The sequence below is a fragment of the Homo sapiens genome, chromosome 8 (assembly GCF_000001405.40).
Source record: "Homo sapiens chromosome 8, GRCh38.p14 Primary Assembly".
In the NCBI taxonomy this organism is placed as follows: domain Eukaryota; kingdom Metazoa; phylum Chordata; class Mammalia; order Primates; family Hominidae; genus Homo; species Homo sapiens.
Window position 1 is genome coordinate 105,767,255 of NC_000008.11, and position 17,027 is coordinate 105,784,281.

The 17,027-nt window shown below is 35.9% G+C and overlaps 1 protein-coding gene and 1 long non-coding RNA gene across 12 annotated transcripts in view; one reads left to right on the forward strand and one right to left on the reverse strand.

Annotated features, from left to right (window-relative positions):
* ZFPM2 (zinc finger protein, FOG family member 2) overlaps positions 1-17,027 on the forward strand; it is a 486,102-nt gene that overhangs the window by 448,817 nt on the left and 20,258 nt on the right. The window lies entirely within an intron of this gene.
* Positions 13,156-17,027, reverse strand: part of ZFPM2-AS1 (ZFPM2 antisense RNA 1) — a 280,094-nt gene continuing 276,222 nt past the window's right edge. For both annotated transcript variants that reach the window (NR_125797.1, NR_125796.1), the window contains 2 exons: positions 15,133-15,229; positions 13,156-13,313 (listed from right to left, as the gene is read on the reverse strand). This is a non-coding gene — a long non-coding RNA (ZFPM2 antisense RNA 1). The remainder of the gene's footprint in view (positions 13,314-15,132; positions 15,230-17,027) is intronic.

Consider the following 17,027-nt stretch of genomic DNA (forward strand, 5'->3'; position numbering starts at 1 on the left):
CTGTAGCCAGCAATGCACGCAAAATATTCATTTCATTGTTGTAAACTACAAAAATATTGCTTTTATGCAAAGAGAATGCCATTGTAGAATTTTAAAAGGCACAGAAATAAAAGGCTCAGGATTGGAGCGATTTAAACAAACTCACTAGAATATAGTAGATGATTAAAATACAATCTATAATTACATTACACTGGTATCAGGTAAGGATAAAAGCCTATAAATACACTGGGGTCAGGGTAAGCATAAAAAATGAAACAGTTATTTGAATAATCTGAGATCAAGTTGCAGTAATTAAAAATGAATGTATTATTCAAATGAAGGAATTAGGTTACAACACTCCATATGAAAATATTATTGTGACAGACTGAAGTAAGTTGGAAATGATTTTGATTAGAAAATGGGTAAAGGAATGTAATAACTTTCACTGGGGAAAAATAGACAATCAGGGAATATAAAAAAAATTTTTGGCTGCCAGATGAGAGACTAAGAGAGGCTAGCAGTTCAAATGCTTTTTGATATCTTAAACTTGGAACAGCTAAGCTTCCGTTGCTATTTTACTAAATGATTTAATTTCCAAAATCATTCAAGGGTTTCCATTTCTTTCCAAAATTTAGATGTTTGAAAAAACCCTATTTTTTCCTTCAGAAATGTACACAGAACTGGGACAGGGAGTGAAGGAGGCTGTTATTTATTGCTTTAGCATGTCCTCCAATGAAAGGATGAAAATAATTTTGATTGATCTTATAGCAGGCATCTCCAGTTAAATGTGCAATTGCATATGTTCACATGCTAAGAGAAAATTTACCTTAATGAGGGAACAAACACATATTCCTCTCTCTCTCTCTCTCTCTCTTTCTCTCTCTCTCTCTCCGTCTCTCTTTACTTTTGGGTGACATTAATTTGTACTGTATTTATTGATTTGTGCATTTGTCCTTCATTACCATTTGTAGAAGCTGCAGTTAAATTCACATGTATTATCCAAAAAATAAAATGACCTCCTAGATATAACACTATTAATAAAACTAAGTCCTGGGAATGTAGAAGCATCTGTTAAAAGCAAAATAGATTTTCCACTGTTTTAAGCTGAGAAATGTATAAATATCTCTAGAAGCACAGAATCATCTCTTTATTAATTCACTAGAACTGCCTTGTTGCCTCATTATAATATCTCAGGAACCTACAAGTTTTAGGGGGATATTATAGCCACACTTCACATGTGAATTACACTCCATCATCAAAGCTCTCTCCCAAATGGATAAAGATCCTTTCTTGAAGTTTACAGTTATGAGAGTCTTCTGGGCTTGTTAGACTGCTGACTTGATTCTGTTATATTCAGCTAATTGAGAGGTTGCATAACTGAGAACTTTGGAGTGGGCAGACTTGGGTTCCATTCACACAATTTAGAATCTCTATATATGTGGATGATTTATCCCTTGAACTCTTTATTACAATGGATATAATAAAAATACCTACCTTGTAAAATTGTTTGGGAAAAAGTTAGATATCCACAGTTGAAGTCATGAACTACAAAGCAATGAAAAGTTACTGCCATGTGAAAACAAATACATACACACACACACACACGCACGCACACATACATACACACATACTATATAACCTTTGGCACATCACCCAACTCCTTGGAGCTTGATTTTCTTCATCTCTAACAGATCCAGAAACCCCCCCATGGTTCCTATCAGGCATAAATACTTACAATCTCATGAGAAACATTGAATGGAGTAAGATAAAAATGTACCTAGAGATTTGCAAGTCCTGTCTTATTTCAAAAGCTTTTATTTGGAAGTTTGAAGAAAACGTTTTAGCTCAGGTTTCTTTCTGCAAGGATAGTTTGCTGTCTATCAGGATGTTCATGTTTTGGGTGGATTTTCATACTTTTGTTTACTGTCTATCCTCCAAAACACATATTCACCTACAAAGGAAACACGATCATTTATGAAACACCCATTATCTTACATTTATATGAAAATAAAAGTAGACCTCTTGCATTTCTGCTGAGCTAGACTTAGCTACTCAAGCTACTCAAGATAAAAATCAGGATCTATGATTGTATTTTATCCACCGTTTTCCTTTGATTGACTCTGTGATCCTTGCAGGTCCCTTCGAGGCTTTACTGGGACATTTCTGGGCCATGGCCAACTTCCTACTATGGGATACTTCAAAGATTCTGATAAATGTTCTTCTCTAGCATAAGAATCGTGTCTTTTTCACCTCTCCTAGACTTCCCACTCTTCTCTGACTTTTTATTTTGGAAAGATGGGAGAGGGCTTGGGAGGGGGGCTTAGGTTTCTCACTTTACTATCATTTTCTTTATGTCAGAGCTTAGTTGGTTCTCCAAGACCACAATCATATAATGAGCCTTGATCATGAACTTGTGTTTTTTATGCTGTATCTCCTTTGTCTGTCTTTCCTCTTATCACTGCTTATAAAACATAACCACAATTTGTCCTTAGCCTGACCCTACCTCTGTTGAAATCCTTTTCAAGCCTTAATTATATCCTGTCTTGACTTTTTCAGTTTCTTCTTCAGCAATCTTCCACTCCCTAATTTCTTGGCTATAACCGAAGGCATCAACTAGATCATTCTGGTGGACCCTTTATGTACGAAGGGAAAAAAATACCATAACCTCAGCAAGACGTTGCCTTGTTTCACCTCCATTTTAATGTGATTTAAAGAAAGATCATCTGTTGTACTTTTCTTATATGTGTTAAAAACATTCTCTTTTTCCCTTCATAATTCCACCTTCATTTTTTGTTTCCTTTTTTATTTATTTATATTTTAATTTTCTCAGGCTATAGGCAGAAGAGATAGCAGACTGATCTTTTTACTCTCCTTGATCTAGTGAGCTTAGAGCTAAAAGTGAATCATGAGAATACTGGAAAAAAATTGCAGCAGAGATTTGCACAATTCTAACATATTGCCCTTAGCTTATCCTAGGTGTCAGTAACAGTGTTCCCCTCACAAGTACCCTGTACTAGTTCTCCTATGATGTGGAGTTGACTATGTAACACAACACTCTGGAAGACAGCCAGAGAGATGAGCTATGGCAATGATGCACTATTGTAACACCCAGAGTGTGGGTCTTTGAACTTACAAATGCTTTTATAAAAGAAGAAGAAGGTTTTTATCTCACGAAAGTTAACTGAAAACAAAGTCATGTGAGTTTATGCTCAAAAATTTATTTCTCTTCTGTTTCTAAATTTTGTTAATATGGCAGCTCATGACCAAGGATTCCGCCCCCAACCCCCACATTATCGTGAATAAAATAAGACCTCACAGTAAGTGTTTAAACAATATTGCACAATAATTTATAATTTCAGTTCTTCCCATTTATAACTCAACCTTAGAGGGCACATTATTTTGTTATTTAGATAGTAAGTAAACTCTTCTGTTCTGCTGAATAATACCTTGGCTACTCTACGCTATTAAACCACAAAGCTTCATTTAGTAATTCAAGACCAAAATGCAATAGTAAAGCATTCTAGGCATCTGTTTGCCAAAACAAACATCAAGCAATCAAAGGAGCAAATATAGCAAAACAAACAACTCACAGAGAGGAAGGTGCAGCTTAGACATAGACTTAGGTAGCTGTGGAGAATTGAAAAGAATATCACCCACTAAGAAAGGCATAAAGCAATGCCAATCTCCTTATCTTTCCTCTAGGGAGCTATATCTAGATGACTTTCCTGCTTCTTGCTCTGCTCACTCCTGGCCTTCCTAGGATGCAGATGCTCAGGTGTGAAGTATATTTTTGGCCTGGGCCCTGAGTGTTGATAAAGGAAGAGAAATATGTTGAAGTAACAGTCATAATTTTGTCCAAGTCAGTGTTTCCTGTGAACTTTTTGATAATCTTTATGACTGAATGTAAAATTATTCTCTGTCACTCCTTCCTGTACCCTGATTTTTTTTCGCCCAACTTGTTATGCTGTATTTGAAGAGAACTTCCTCTGAAGAGGATCCCCACTGTCTTCTTCTTTTTCCTTTACTTAACACTCATACCTAGAGGCAACTAATGATATGGGATATAAAACATGGACCTGTTTTACAAAATCCTATCACAACACCATCCAAATAACAGGAATCTGTGAAACAGTGAAAAGAATTCTCTCTTTATTCTTAAAGGTAGTGATAACAGCACATTTTTTCTATAGCTGTTTGTATCTATTTCAGGATGAAGACAATATATCTTTGTTAATCCTATTGGAAACAATGGTGTGCTCTTAAGTATAGCACTGACCCTTTTGTGCAAATTAATGCATAGTAAAATTTATCCTTCCAAACTGCACAATGATGTGCAACAGAAGGCCATACAAGTCTTAGAAAAATTAGCTGGCTCTGGTTTTATCATCACACGAGCAAAAATTTGAGATTTTGCCGTTCATTCCCCTAAGATCACCCACTCATCTGCAACAGCGTTGGCAGAAAGCCACCCTGCCTTCCAAGCTGCCCTTCCTAACTGAACTGTGAAGGGCCGACCTTGAAAGACAGATTTTCAAAGCACAGGGCAGAGCGAGGACTCCCTTTTTCTGTTTGTGGAGTTACAATGACTTGGAGCCCCATTTCTTCCTTTGAAATTAGATGATGTGCTATTATGTTGACTGAGCACTTGTTTTTAACTTCCTTTGTTTTACTAATGCTAATATAATTTGTGAGAGATGCTAATGTTCTTAAATGGTAATAAGATTATGGAGTAACTATATTGTGCATCTTCAACAAATACATGCTTTAAGTGGTCCTCACAAGTGATGGTGGAATACAACATGTTTATTACACACAATCCCATGGAGGTTTTCAAGATCACTTTCCATTTGCTTTCATGGAACTTTGCCTAGAAATTCAACAACTGAAACCTTAAAGGTTAAGACCACTGTTAAGCAGCCATATAATTGGGACTGTGGCCCAGAACTTCCACTTAAGAATGGCAAGGGTTGAGGGTTGAGAATGTAGTGTGATGATGACTACCTTTGTAATATGCAAGGCAGAGTTAAATTCAAGTGGGGAAAAGCACTCAGTCCGTGACAAAATCACAGTAACAGATGGGAGAAGGTGAGCATACAGGGATTTATAAGGATGCTCAGGTAAAATTTCTTACACTCTTTGTCATTAGAGGAAATGAAATACTGCTAGTTATAGACACACCCAGAGATGACTGAAGAATAATAAAGTTTTAAAATTCAGAGCAAAGACTTTCCCTGCTTGAAGGAGGAGAAAGCAGGCAGGGGTAAAGAGGAAGGAAAACAGAAGAATGTAACTTCAGATACTTTGTAAAGGGTTACCTCAGTTTTCTATGTATGATAGTCTCAACCATTCAAACCTGTTGTTGTTTTCCTCCTCAGCACACATAATTCCCCTTAAAATTTAGAAGCAGTATATGTGTGTTGGTGCAAATATCTGTTCAAAGAGTTTTATTATAAGAAGACTTTAAAATATCTGTGATGCAGGTTATGAATCCATTCAAAAATAAGATTTTTGCATCCTTCATTTAATAAAGCAAGGTGGTAAAAAGTAAAGGAATGGAAACTGCCTTATTTTCACCAGAAAATTTAGCCCTAGTCACTTGGTGAGTTTATGTTATACTTCAGGAACCCAGGCTTCTGTTCTTACCCTGTTTCAGAGGGGAAAGTTACATCTTTATGCTTTGTTATCTTGACATGGGCACGTGAGTTGAATGCAGTGCCATTTAGTTGAGCATTGGAGGATAGTCTGTAAATTACGACGAAGTTGTTTAGTCAGTTAACATAAATCTTTGGGGATTATAAACCTTGGTGTAGCAACTTAACATTTAAGGTAGAATAGAATTAAATAAATAAAGCCCACATTCTCTTTTCTTCTGGCTGACTTCAAGGAATGCACTGAGCGCCATCTGCTGGTTGTTACTTTTTCAAAACTATTTTCTTACCAAACCACTGTCATTTGAAATTGACTCTAGGTATATATACCAACATATAAAGGCAGCTTTATGAAGAGAAGGAAAGGGCATCTATGTACTATAAATAGCCCTTATATCACATGACAGTGTTTTATTTTAAACTGTCATATAATAATTCAAAATTTGCCTTAGGATAGAAATCTAGTAACCTTTCAGATAAGGAAAGGGTTGAATTTCCATATTTTAGAATAGACCATTATGAAAGTTTTAGATGTAGAAGTAATAAGCACAGTATTAAAGTTTTCTGGTTTTACCTAAATCATGATATGAAAATATTCATTTGGAGTAAAAAAATAGTTTTTAAAAATAAAATAAATCCTTTCAGCTAAGGAATGAATTTTCATATTTTAGAATAGACTATCATAAAAGTTTTAGAAATAGAACTAATTAACTACACTATTAAATTTTCTAGTTTTATCTAAATCATGACATGAAAATATCTATTTAGAGAAAAAAGATAAATAAAATAAAAATAAATAAAAAAGATAAATAAAAATAAAATAAATAAAATAAACAAAACCCCCCACCACCATTTCTTTGTGAATATTTTGAAGCAGCCATTGAACATGGAAGTTTGATCTTAGTCATCTTTAAACCTTAAATTATGAGTTAAATCATATTGTAGATTTTTGGTTACTTTTTGTAAAAGACATGATAAGTCAACACAATGAAACACACTCACTCATACTCCATATCTTCTTTATTAATTAAAAATAATCTCTATGACTGAAGAATTTCAAAGCCTGGAAAGCTAGGATGAGAAGGAAACAAAATGTTTCTAGAAAGAATTAGACTTCACATAATTAGCGTCTGACAGTTTTCATGTTGTTTAAAATCCACGGCAAATCTTTGTCCTAATATGTCTCTGAAATTCAAGGAACATAGTCACGTGTGATTTTGCCTGCATTTCAGGTCCTTCCATAATCTATGCAGAAAATTAGACCCATTGTTCCCCATTAGCTTTCCTCTCTAGACCAGGCACAATAAGAAAATGGTGCCTGTGTGCCACTCCCACTGTTCCTCCAGTAGGCAATTACTAGTTCTCTTATATTTAACCGTAGATTGTAAAGAAAAATAATTACTTATGCAGAATCTCTTAGAAAAATGAAATAAAAAACACAAACATCAATTTATAATTATATGTTATAATTAAAAAGCTTGACACCTATTGTTATCCCCAGAATTTGAACCTTAATAACAGGTCTTGGTCATTGTTCATCATAATAACGTATCCCGTGGTCTCCATCAGTGGAATTACTGAGCTCTGCTGGAGAGATAACATGTTCCCTGAAAACAGGAATAACTTGACAAAAGGAACATTGTCTGGGCAGCAAAGGGACATGAAAACAAGTATAGTATTTTTAGTTTTAAAATGTCAATGTCAGAGAAATTTGTGTGTTTAATATTGTGGTTTGTAAAAATAAGTAGGATATTTTGTAAAGAAAAAATTCAGATAAATATACTTAAAACTTAGTAAACCTTTATGAAGGCATAAAATGATGTTGGTTGTTCAGAGATGGTTTCCAGAAAAATACAAAGCACAGAATTTAACCCTTTTCCTAGTTTCTTTCTTCTGTAGCAGCATCTGGTCAGCAGCAAAGGGGCAGAATTTCTTCTAAGAAAAGAATTTCTGGCTGTTTGAACTTACTGATGCTAAAATCCAGCTTTTGGGAGGAGAAACCTCTAAGTGCTTGAGGGGGACGCGAAGATGGAAGCCACCCATCTGTGGTGGCAAACTGAGGCCTGCAAACACAGGGTCCTGCCAGCTACTTAGCACTTCCATCCCTTGGATCCACCCAGCCCTTCACTCTCCCTCTGTAGCAGTCAACACTTTTAAACTGACTCCCTAGAGAAGTTTAATGAGCCTCTTGGAATTAAAAAAAAAAAAAAAAAAAGCAAAACAAGAGTAATAGAAATGGACAAGCTGACAAAGGAATAGAGAGGTTCATTTTCAGCTTGGTGCTTGGGGGGTTTTCATCAGGATACCGCAATGGATATTGCACAGAGAAGTGGAAGGAGAAAGAAAGAAATTAGAAACAGCCTCCTATGATGAACTTGTATAATTTATTCCTCTGCAGAGCAGCAGGCAGAGTGTTTCATTTCCCCCCCTCCCCTCTTCTTTTTCCCTCCACCTAATTTCAGTGCATTCCCAGGCTAGGCAAGAATGAAAATTAAGCATACCCAACACACAAGTCGTAATGAAAGTGTGGAATGCAATCAGATTATTCATAAGCTTACAAGTTGTGTATTTTGGTGGAGATTTCCTCCCTTCTGCTCCTGATTGCTGATGAAGAATGGTATTTTAATAGGCAGATGGTAAAGACAATTACAGTTAGGGGCTCAGCTGGGAGTTACATCAGTTTATTGCAAATTATTAGTTGATAAATGCTTTTGTTTACAAGCAGAGTCTTAAGCAGCTTTGTAATCAGTTTATCAGCTGCAAGCGAAATTTTGACAGCTCGCCTTTGGGGTGTATGTCACCTCTTGGCTGGTCATTTAAAATCATGTTGGTCAGGGAGCCAGACAGTCAGATGGCTACCTCAGTGCCCCACCGCAAGTTTCCGCAAAGCACTCAGGGCACAAACCCCAGAATGCTGATGAGACTTCATGCACAGGCCTTTTCCTGTTGAAATCCCATAAAAACAGCTTTTCTGTTTGACTAAACCCAAGGTAGGATACCTGAGCCCCATGGCCTCCAACACATTAATTCAGGTTTTCCAGAAAGCTCTGAGTGCTTTTATATTCACGGGACAAAACTTTCTGAGCTTATGCTTCAGTAGAAATCCGGGCCTGATGACAATGACTCTGTTTACTTTCCCGAAAGAGGCATCATGAGCTTCTTAAAAAAGAAAGGAAATTATCTTAATAGGAGACATTTTCTTACAAGGAAAAAAAAAAAAAGTACTGTGGAAAGAATACAAGCCACGAAGCAAAACTCTAGCGGGGATCTGTTACAAGCTTGGGCCAGAGAATGCCCTCTTTGAGAAGAGGGGAGTTTAGGGAATGCACCGGTTTAACCAGTCTGGCTTTGCTTTCCTTTTCTGTGAAATGGAATGATAGTACTTCCTGTTTGCCACAGCTAATTATATAGATTAATGAGGCTGTTCATGTTTCTTTGTTTCTAAGTTCCGATCAGACCTATATATTATCTGTTGAATTTACATTAAGTAATAAAGGATATAATATTTGAAATGACACATAAATCACAGATTCTACTTTAAGCTCATTTTCAACATATTTGCTAAAAGAGGATACTGTAATTTAGTAGTTTTACAATATAGCATGGCCAACATTTACTAGTTTTTTACATTGGTGTAAGGACATGGTTTATAACCTGATGTGTTCAAAGATATGTATACTTGAAGAGTTCTCTTCATTATTCATAGGCTATAAACAATTCTTATTTATCTACTTTTACTTTCCATTCTAACCAAGTAACTTTTGTGAGCCTAGTCAAGACAAAAATAGTCACATAAGTAATCATATACCGTAGCTCCTAAACTAGTTATTTTTGTTTGTAGCTACTGACTATTTATATGCTTTTATTTCCTGGTATTCAAGGAAAACTTACTAAGTGAATAGGGAACTAACTACTGAAGTTGGAAGCCAGGTTTCATACCCAGAAATAGATATTCCATATCCTATAAAATATTGACATAATACAGAAAGTTCTTTGGAAATATGACTTCAGCTGATACATTTTAAATTATATATAACATATGTGTAAAAGCAGAATCTTCTCTTAGTCCAGAAGTATGGCTGAGCATCTCTATCCATTTATCTCCCTGCTTCCTCTTTCTGATTCTGTCTTGGTTACTCAATTAAAGTCTTGAAATCATCAGAATAGAAACTGACCACATGGGTTAGTCAAGTTTGTAATTTTAAAGTTGGGTTGACATAAGCTTATGGAAAAGCATTTGGGAGAAAACCAGAGTGCAGTTTTTATCGAACTCCAGCATTCAGCACAAGTATTTAGGTCCCAATTTTCCAGTTCTTAAGCAATTAAATGTTCTATTGACATCAGAGGAAAGGCTGCTTACAGAAGAGCTGAAGAACAAAAGCCTTGATATCTTAAATTGTAAAATGTGTTTTAACATAAAGAGCATAAAAAGTTTGCGTTTTCATTTTCTATAATCAAGTTAATGAAGGATAAATAGTGTATTTGGCAAATAGTTTCTACCATTTGTCCATTCCTCTTGATTGGAAAAGGCAAAGAATAATTTTTTAAAAAAATCTGTCCTCTCCTTTGGTCCAAATGCAAAAGGCACACTCCAGAGTTGCTGGTCAGGTCTGACTTTCTCCCTTCTCCCAAGAAGTTCTAGGATGTTCTATAAAAAGCTGTCAGGAGTGCCAGCATGGGAAAGTTGAATGCCCCCAAATGCCCTGCATTGCCTATATAGTACAAATGAAAAAAGTTAAAGATCATTTAAAAACAGGAAAGACCTTTTGCAAAATGCTTTGATTTATTGCTGTGTATTGTGCAGATCTTTATCAATTATTTTACTCTATTTTATTCAAAAACTATTGTAAACTATGAGTTGGCATGTTGCTGCATACGAAAAAAAGGCATTAATCAACTCTAAATAAACAAGTGGATAGATCTATCTAACAACTATGAAGTAGTTAATACATTTATAAGCAATTTTATTATAGAAAGGAAGGCTAAAAGAGTAGTGCTTAATTATCTGGACTTCTCTGTGCTGGGCTCCCTTTTGATTGTATTAATGAAGCAGCTGGCCCATTGTTTCCCTTTAATTCCTCTATTGTTTTAAGAATATGTCACAGCTCTTTATTCTTTTATCAGGTGCTGTGCAGGAGGATCCACACAATACCTCATATTCCTACTGTATTTGCCAAGGCACAAAGAAACCTCCAAAGCGGTTTTCAAAGAAGGGGCACCCATAATTTATAAGTTCTATTCCTTCCACTACTCCACTGTCAAGAATTTCAACAGTATTGGATTTGAATTCATTATAAAATTTGTATTAAGCAATGTGGTTACGTATAGATATATGTCCTGTGTTCATGCCTAGACCCTGAGATCTAGGCATTACCACATGCGATGTTGAAATGGGACAGTTATTTAGCTTTTAAGGAATTTTTCTGACCAATCACTTCTCAGTTATGAAAAAAACAGATTTCAGAGGGAGGTATCATGTGAGATTTTTTCTAATTATTTATTTAGTAAAAATGAAAGAAGTTAATGACCAAACAAGTAAGTATTCCGCTTTTCTCCACCTCCAGAAACATGATACTCTGTGTATGTCTGCATGTGTCTGAGTGCATGCGTGTGTGTGTGTGTGTGTGCGTGTGTGTGTTTGTTTGCTAAATGGCCTATTCCCCCAGAGAATGGCTTTAATTTTACTTGAATGTGCCTACAAGAGATCATGATTTACTTCACAGGCCAATGTGTAATCGTCATTAACTAAGTGCTTGTCATCAGTTGACCATCTTTTTCCATGGTATGTGGAGGAGATAGACTTTTTAGATCAATGCAGAAATATCAGTCTACATCTTAAGGAAGCAAAATGCTGTAGCAATTTAGTATATGGTATAGCATATTTTATGCAAGAGCTATTTAAAAATGCTGGTTCCGTTATGCATAATTACTTTTTCTCCAAATTTTTATGAAAACCACAAAAATTACCCATGGTAAAATAATCTTGAGAGCCTGATTCACAGAAACTGTCATCTTTTTTTTTTTTTTTTTACGCATACGTCTTTTTTCTTTGTTTTTTCCCTATTAAATATCTGAATTTTGGAAGATGTTTTATTGATTTTCTTCCCCCAGAATTTCTAGTCTAAAAAAAGAGAAATGAGACTTAATGGCGATGCTATGCAGTAAAAGTCATTAACTAACTTTTAAATGTCTTTAGAAAAGGCATTAGAATAACTTGTTATTTTAAACCATCTATTTCCTTTTGTATTGTTAGTGAGGATGTATGCGGTTTGTTTGCTTGTTTGTTTTTAGCTTAAAGTTTCACACTGATATTCCTATCTATTGCCTAAGGCTCCTTATCCTACTTTATATTGAGGCAGAGTAATACAAAATCTAAATGTGATTTAATTGGTTCAATTTGCTATATATTTTTATGCTAAGCTTAGGTCCATATCTTGATGAGCCCCCGTAGCTGTGCTAGAGGTTTACAGCTTCACATTCCTTGCATTTCCTTATTTTTAGAAAGCAAGCGTCTATCAATCACACAGATAAATTAGAAAGAAACATGTATAGACATAACACATGGAAAATATTTTTCAGCGTGCTATGTAATTATTAACCTGATTTTTACCATTGTAAGAAGCCATGAATTGCAGATAGCATGGATGAAGTTAAAAGCTTTTATTCTGGATACATTTTGCTTATACAGAACTCTATAGGTATGGTCGAACAATATAATTGAAGCTTTGTCAGCTCTGTAACCTAGCAACAGATAATACTGTTAGGTTACTGAATTGCTCCTGGTTGACAAGTAGGGAGTATTTTTGTGTTTATCATGTTTGCTAATGATGGGATCCTTTCCAAAAGGCTTGTCTTAATCTTAATTAGAGTTTATCAGCAGAGGTCTGCATGACATTGTGCAGAGACTGATTTCATAAATAATAAAAAGTGCAAGTGAAAAATTTGGCAGGATGGGAAGATATTTAAGGCCACTGCTTCTAGTAACAGGCGCATGAATTTCCAAAATATAATCGAGTTTGAACTGTGACTTTATTCTTTATTATCAAAACTTGTAGTACACGTCACTGCGGTTTTGACAGCAATTATAAGAAAAATTTATAAGCTTCCTGTTAGAAACCGTATCTGGTTGCACAAGAACCTTGATCATAAACATTACTTAGAACAGCAAATATATGCTTTTTCAAGAATGTCAAGGTCTTAGTAGTTATTCCTTTTCACAGAACCTTGAATAAGTATTTGTCCTTTATTTGTGAAGGGAGTGGTATTGTGAGTATGAAGACTGAGGAGAGTGACTATGTTTGCAGCATAAGAGACAGACAAAGAGAGAATCCTAAAATAACCTTTCCATTTGGTGGAAGCGAGGAAGGTATCAGATAGCTGCTTCAGTGCCTGATGTCATTTGATAAAGATTTCATGCCCATGCAAGAGGAATGTGATTTTTTGCTCTAGTTTGCGCAATATGATCTTTCCACAGTTTTGGAAGATGCATTACTATTGATCATTCCTAATAATAAAATAAATCACTTCAAAATAATAAAGAATTAAACATTGTAAAACTAAATATAATCAACAAATTTACCAAGTTCCTCACTGGCTTATTCAGTTGCAAGATGACGCTCAGTCGTTACATCATTGTTTATCCACTTCCTTCACCATTTCACTCATCATTCCTATATTCTTCAAACGCTGCAGGAAAAGGAAACATTCAAAGCTAGTTTCGCCGGGCGCGGTGGCTCATGCCTGTAATCCCAGCACTTTGGGAGGCCGAGGTGGGTGGATCACCCGAGGTCAGGAGTTTGAGACCAGCCTGGCCAACATGGTGAAACCCCGTCCCTACTAAGAATACAAAAAATTAGCCAGGTGTGATCCCAGCCTGTAATCCCAGCAACTTGGGAGGCTGAGGCAGGAGAATCGCTTGAACCTGGGAGGTGGAGGTTGCAGTAAGCCGAGATCGTGCCATTGCACTCTAGCCTGGGCAACAAGAGCAAAACTCCGTCTCAAATAAATAAAAGCTATTTTCAAGTGTCATTTTCTGAGTTTCAAAATGGACGTCTTCTCTACTGAATTGTCTGAACACTCCTGTGAAACATTTGATCATCAAGACACTTTTTTGTTCATAGAGCTTAACTCTTTCTACACTATGTAAAATGCAGATAGTTTACTCCTATGGCAGTTATTCTTAACTAAGGAAGCAAACCAAGCCCTCCAGAGAGCTTCTAAAATATACTGAAGCCCAAACTTCAGTCCCAGAGACTGATTTGATGGCTCTTGGGTAGGGTCCAAAATCAGTGTGGGTTCCAAGTTCCCCTCCTAACTGTATTGTGCAGTCAAGATCGCCAGTCAGTGCTTGATGGTTAGGTCGAATCTTGATGCCCTTTTTAATGTCCAGCTAAACTTGCAATTTAAGGAATTGGGAAAGTGCTGCATTTGTATTTTATATTAATAATTGAGCTTAATGTATGTGAAGTGCTTAGAACAGTGCCTGGCACATAGTAAGTGCTTTCTAAGTGTTAGCTATTTTAATGAGGTTAGTCACATTATGAGATAACTTGGAGTCAGCCAGGCATGGTGGCTCACACCTGTAATCCCAGCACTTTGGGAGGCTGAAGCAGGAGGATCCCTTGAGCTCAGGAGTTCGATACCAGCCTGGGCAACATGGCAAAACCCCATCTCTACTAAAAATACAAAAGTTAGCTGGGAGTGGTAGCACATGCCTGTAATTCCAGCTACTCGGGAGGCTGTAGTGGGGATCTCCTGAGCTGGGAGACAGAGGTTGCAGTGAGCTGAGCGGTGACTGCCACTGCACTCCAGCCTGGGTGACAGAGTGAGACCCTATCTTAAAATAAAATAATAAAATAACTTGGAGTCACTTCCACATCACACATAAATTTTATTCTCCATATTGTAGCTATGCATTTAAAAACTCTATCTAATAACTAACTATGTAACCTGCCTAATGCTGCTTCATAAATTGAACCACCGTATTCTTCCTTCAGAGAGATAATTGTGCCAATTATTCAAACTTAGTAATGAAAGTAGGAGTGTTACAGAGTGAACACCAGATGGCGCCATGGCTTGGGACACCTAGTTTTTCACATAAAATCTGCCTTATTCAAATGCCATCTCCCATATTTCCTTCTCCTCCTCCAGTTCCCCTCTAGCTGTGTGACTTTGAACAACTTACACTTCCAGCATCATGATCCCACAGTAAAATGAGAATCAATAAAAGCCACCTCACTGCTTTCTTGGGGGAAATCAATAAGATAATTCATGCAAAGCTTTTAGCACAGTGCAGGTGTGTAGCACATGGTAACCACTTAATAAATGTGTGATTATTACTATTATTAGCACATGATGATGGAAGCATAAAAAGATGCTCACAACTGGATGATGATAAATATTTAGTCTAAGGCTGTCATTTGAAGTGATGTGGGTAATGTGATTTTCCAAGCTCACACAGTAATAACGAAGTCAGGACTAAACTAAACTAAACTTTCTTACTCACCAATAAAGTGCTCTTCATAGTTCATCTTTGCATTGAGGACAAATAAATTTTCTGTGATTTCAGGTGCCACCTGTTCTTCACTATTAGTGTGTAATTCCTTAAAATAAGAACATTTACCCTTGAATGGCAGTGTAAACAAAGTAGTAACAGTTTTATCAATGAAGCATATAGTTGTCCCTCAGTATCCATTGTGGATTGGTTTCAAGATCTTCCTCAAACACCAAAATCTGAGGATGCTCAAGTACCTGATATAAAACTTTATGGGTTTTTTACTTGTATTATTCTTCATTATTGTAATTTTGGGTAATATTTATATCTGAGTTTGATTGAATCCAAGGATGCAGAACCCAACCATATGGAGCATATATTTACATTGCCATATGTCCACCCAATACTTTTACAGAATTCCATTTGTTTTCATATTAATATACCATTAATATGGATTAGTGTATTGAAAATGCACTTCGTTTAAATTTGGGGCATATTAAGCATACTGCTTCTTATGAAAGCCACAGAAAACATGTTTAGATTCCTTAAATTTCACCTCTATAGAGAGTCAACAGGAACACTCCACTGGCACTGGAAACACAGGCAGAAACTCAGATCAATCAAGTAACCAGGAACTAAATTGTTCAAAAATGTTCAGATCTACACAGGTCTCCCGAGTTCATTCAAATGAAAAGACTTAATATGGCCAAATAAAGTGAACTCCTTCTTAGCAGCAACTTCATTTCACTAGGTACTTGAATTTCAAATGGGGTTTGTTAAGTAGCTTTGCTAGGAAAGTCGAGAAGGAAGATCTTATCCCTTGTGTTTCTTTATGGTTTTTTTTTTTTTTTTTTTTTTTTGGTTTTCCTAAAATCATCTCATATGAAGCCACTTTATAAAAGTTATATTCTTATTCTTAGTTATGGCTAAAAATTTCATGCCAATGTTCTAGGTTCACAGAGGATGTTTTGTAGTGAAAAAAAAAATGTAACCTCATTTTTTCTCAATTTTTAAAATTCTGATAAAATACACATAAGATGTAGTATCTTAACCATTCTCAAGTGTATAGTTCAGTGGCATTCACATTGTTGTGCAACTATTACCACCATCCATCTCTAGAGCTCTTTATCTTGCCAAACTGAAATTCTATTTATGCTAAACCTAAATCCTCATCCCCGTATCCCAGCCCCTGGCAACCACCATTCTACTTTCTGTCTGTATGATTTGGGATACCTTAAGTACTTCATGTAAGTGGAATCATACACTGTTTGTCTTTTTGTGACACTCATTTCACTCAGTACAATGTCCTCAAGCTTCATCCATGTTGTAGCATATGTCAGAGTTTCTTTTCAAGGCGGAATAATATTCAGTTGTATGTGTAGATCACATGTTTCTTATCCATTCCTCTATCAATGGATACTTCCATGGGTTGTTTCCATGTTTTAGCTATTGTGAACCATGCCACTATGAGCCTGGCTGTTCAAATATCTCTTTGAGATTCTGCTTTCCTTTCTTTTGAATATATATCCAAAAGTAGAATTGCTAAAATCATAGGTAATTCTAGTCTTAATTTTTGGATAACTCATCATTTTGTACAATTTTACATACCCTCCAGCAGTGCACAAGGGTTCCAGTTTCTCTACATCCTTAACAACACTTTTTTTTATAATGATGCCCTCATTTTAAAGCCAAATGTAATATCCTGTGGTTTGTTTCTATTAAACATAAGGTCAAAGGGTACAAGATACCAACATAGCTAAATATCAACATGACTTAGCATTTTCATGTGCTTGGATAGCTTCTTAATTTACATAAATACTACTACCCTCCACTCAATTGTAAATTAAAGCGGGCCATATTTATCTAAGCTCTGAAGCATTAAAATAGGAAACTGGCTCTCCTGCCCC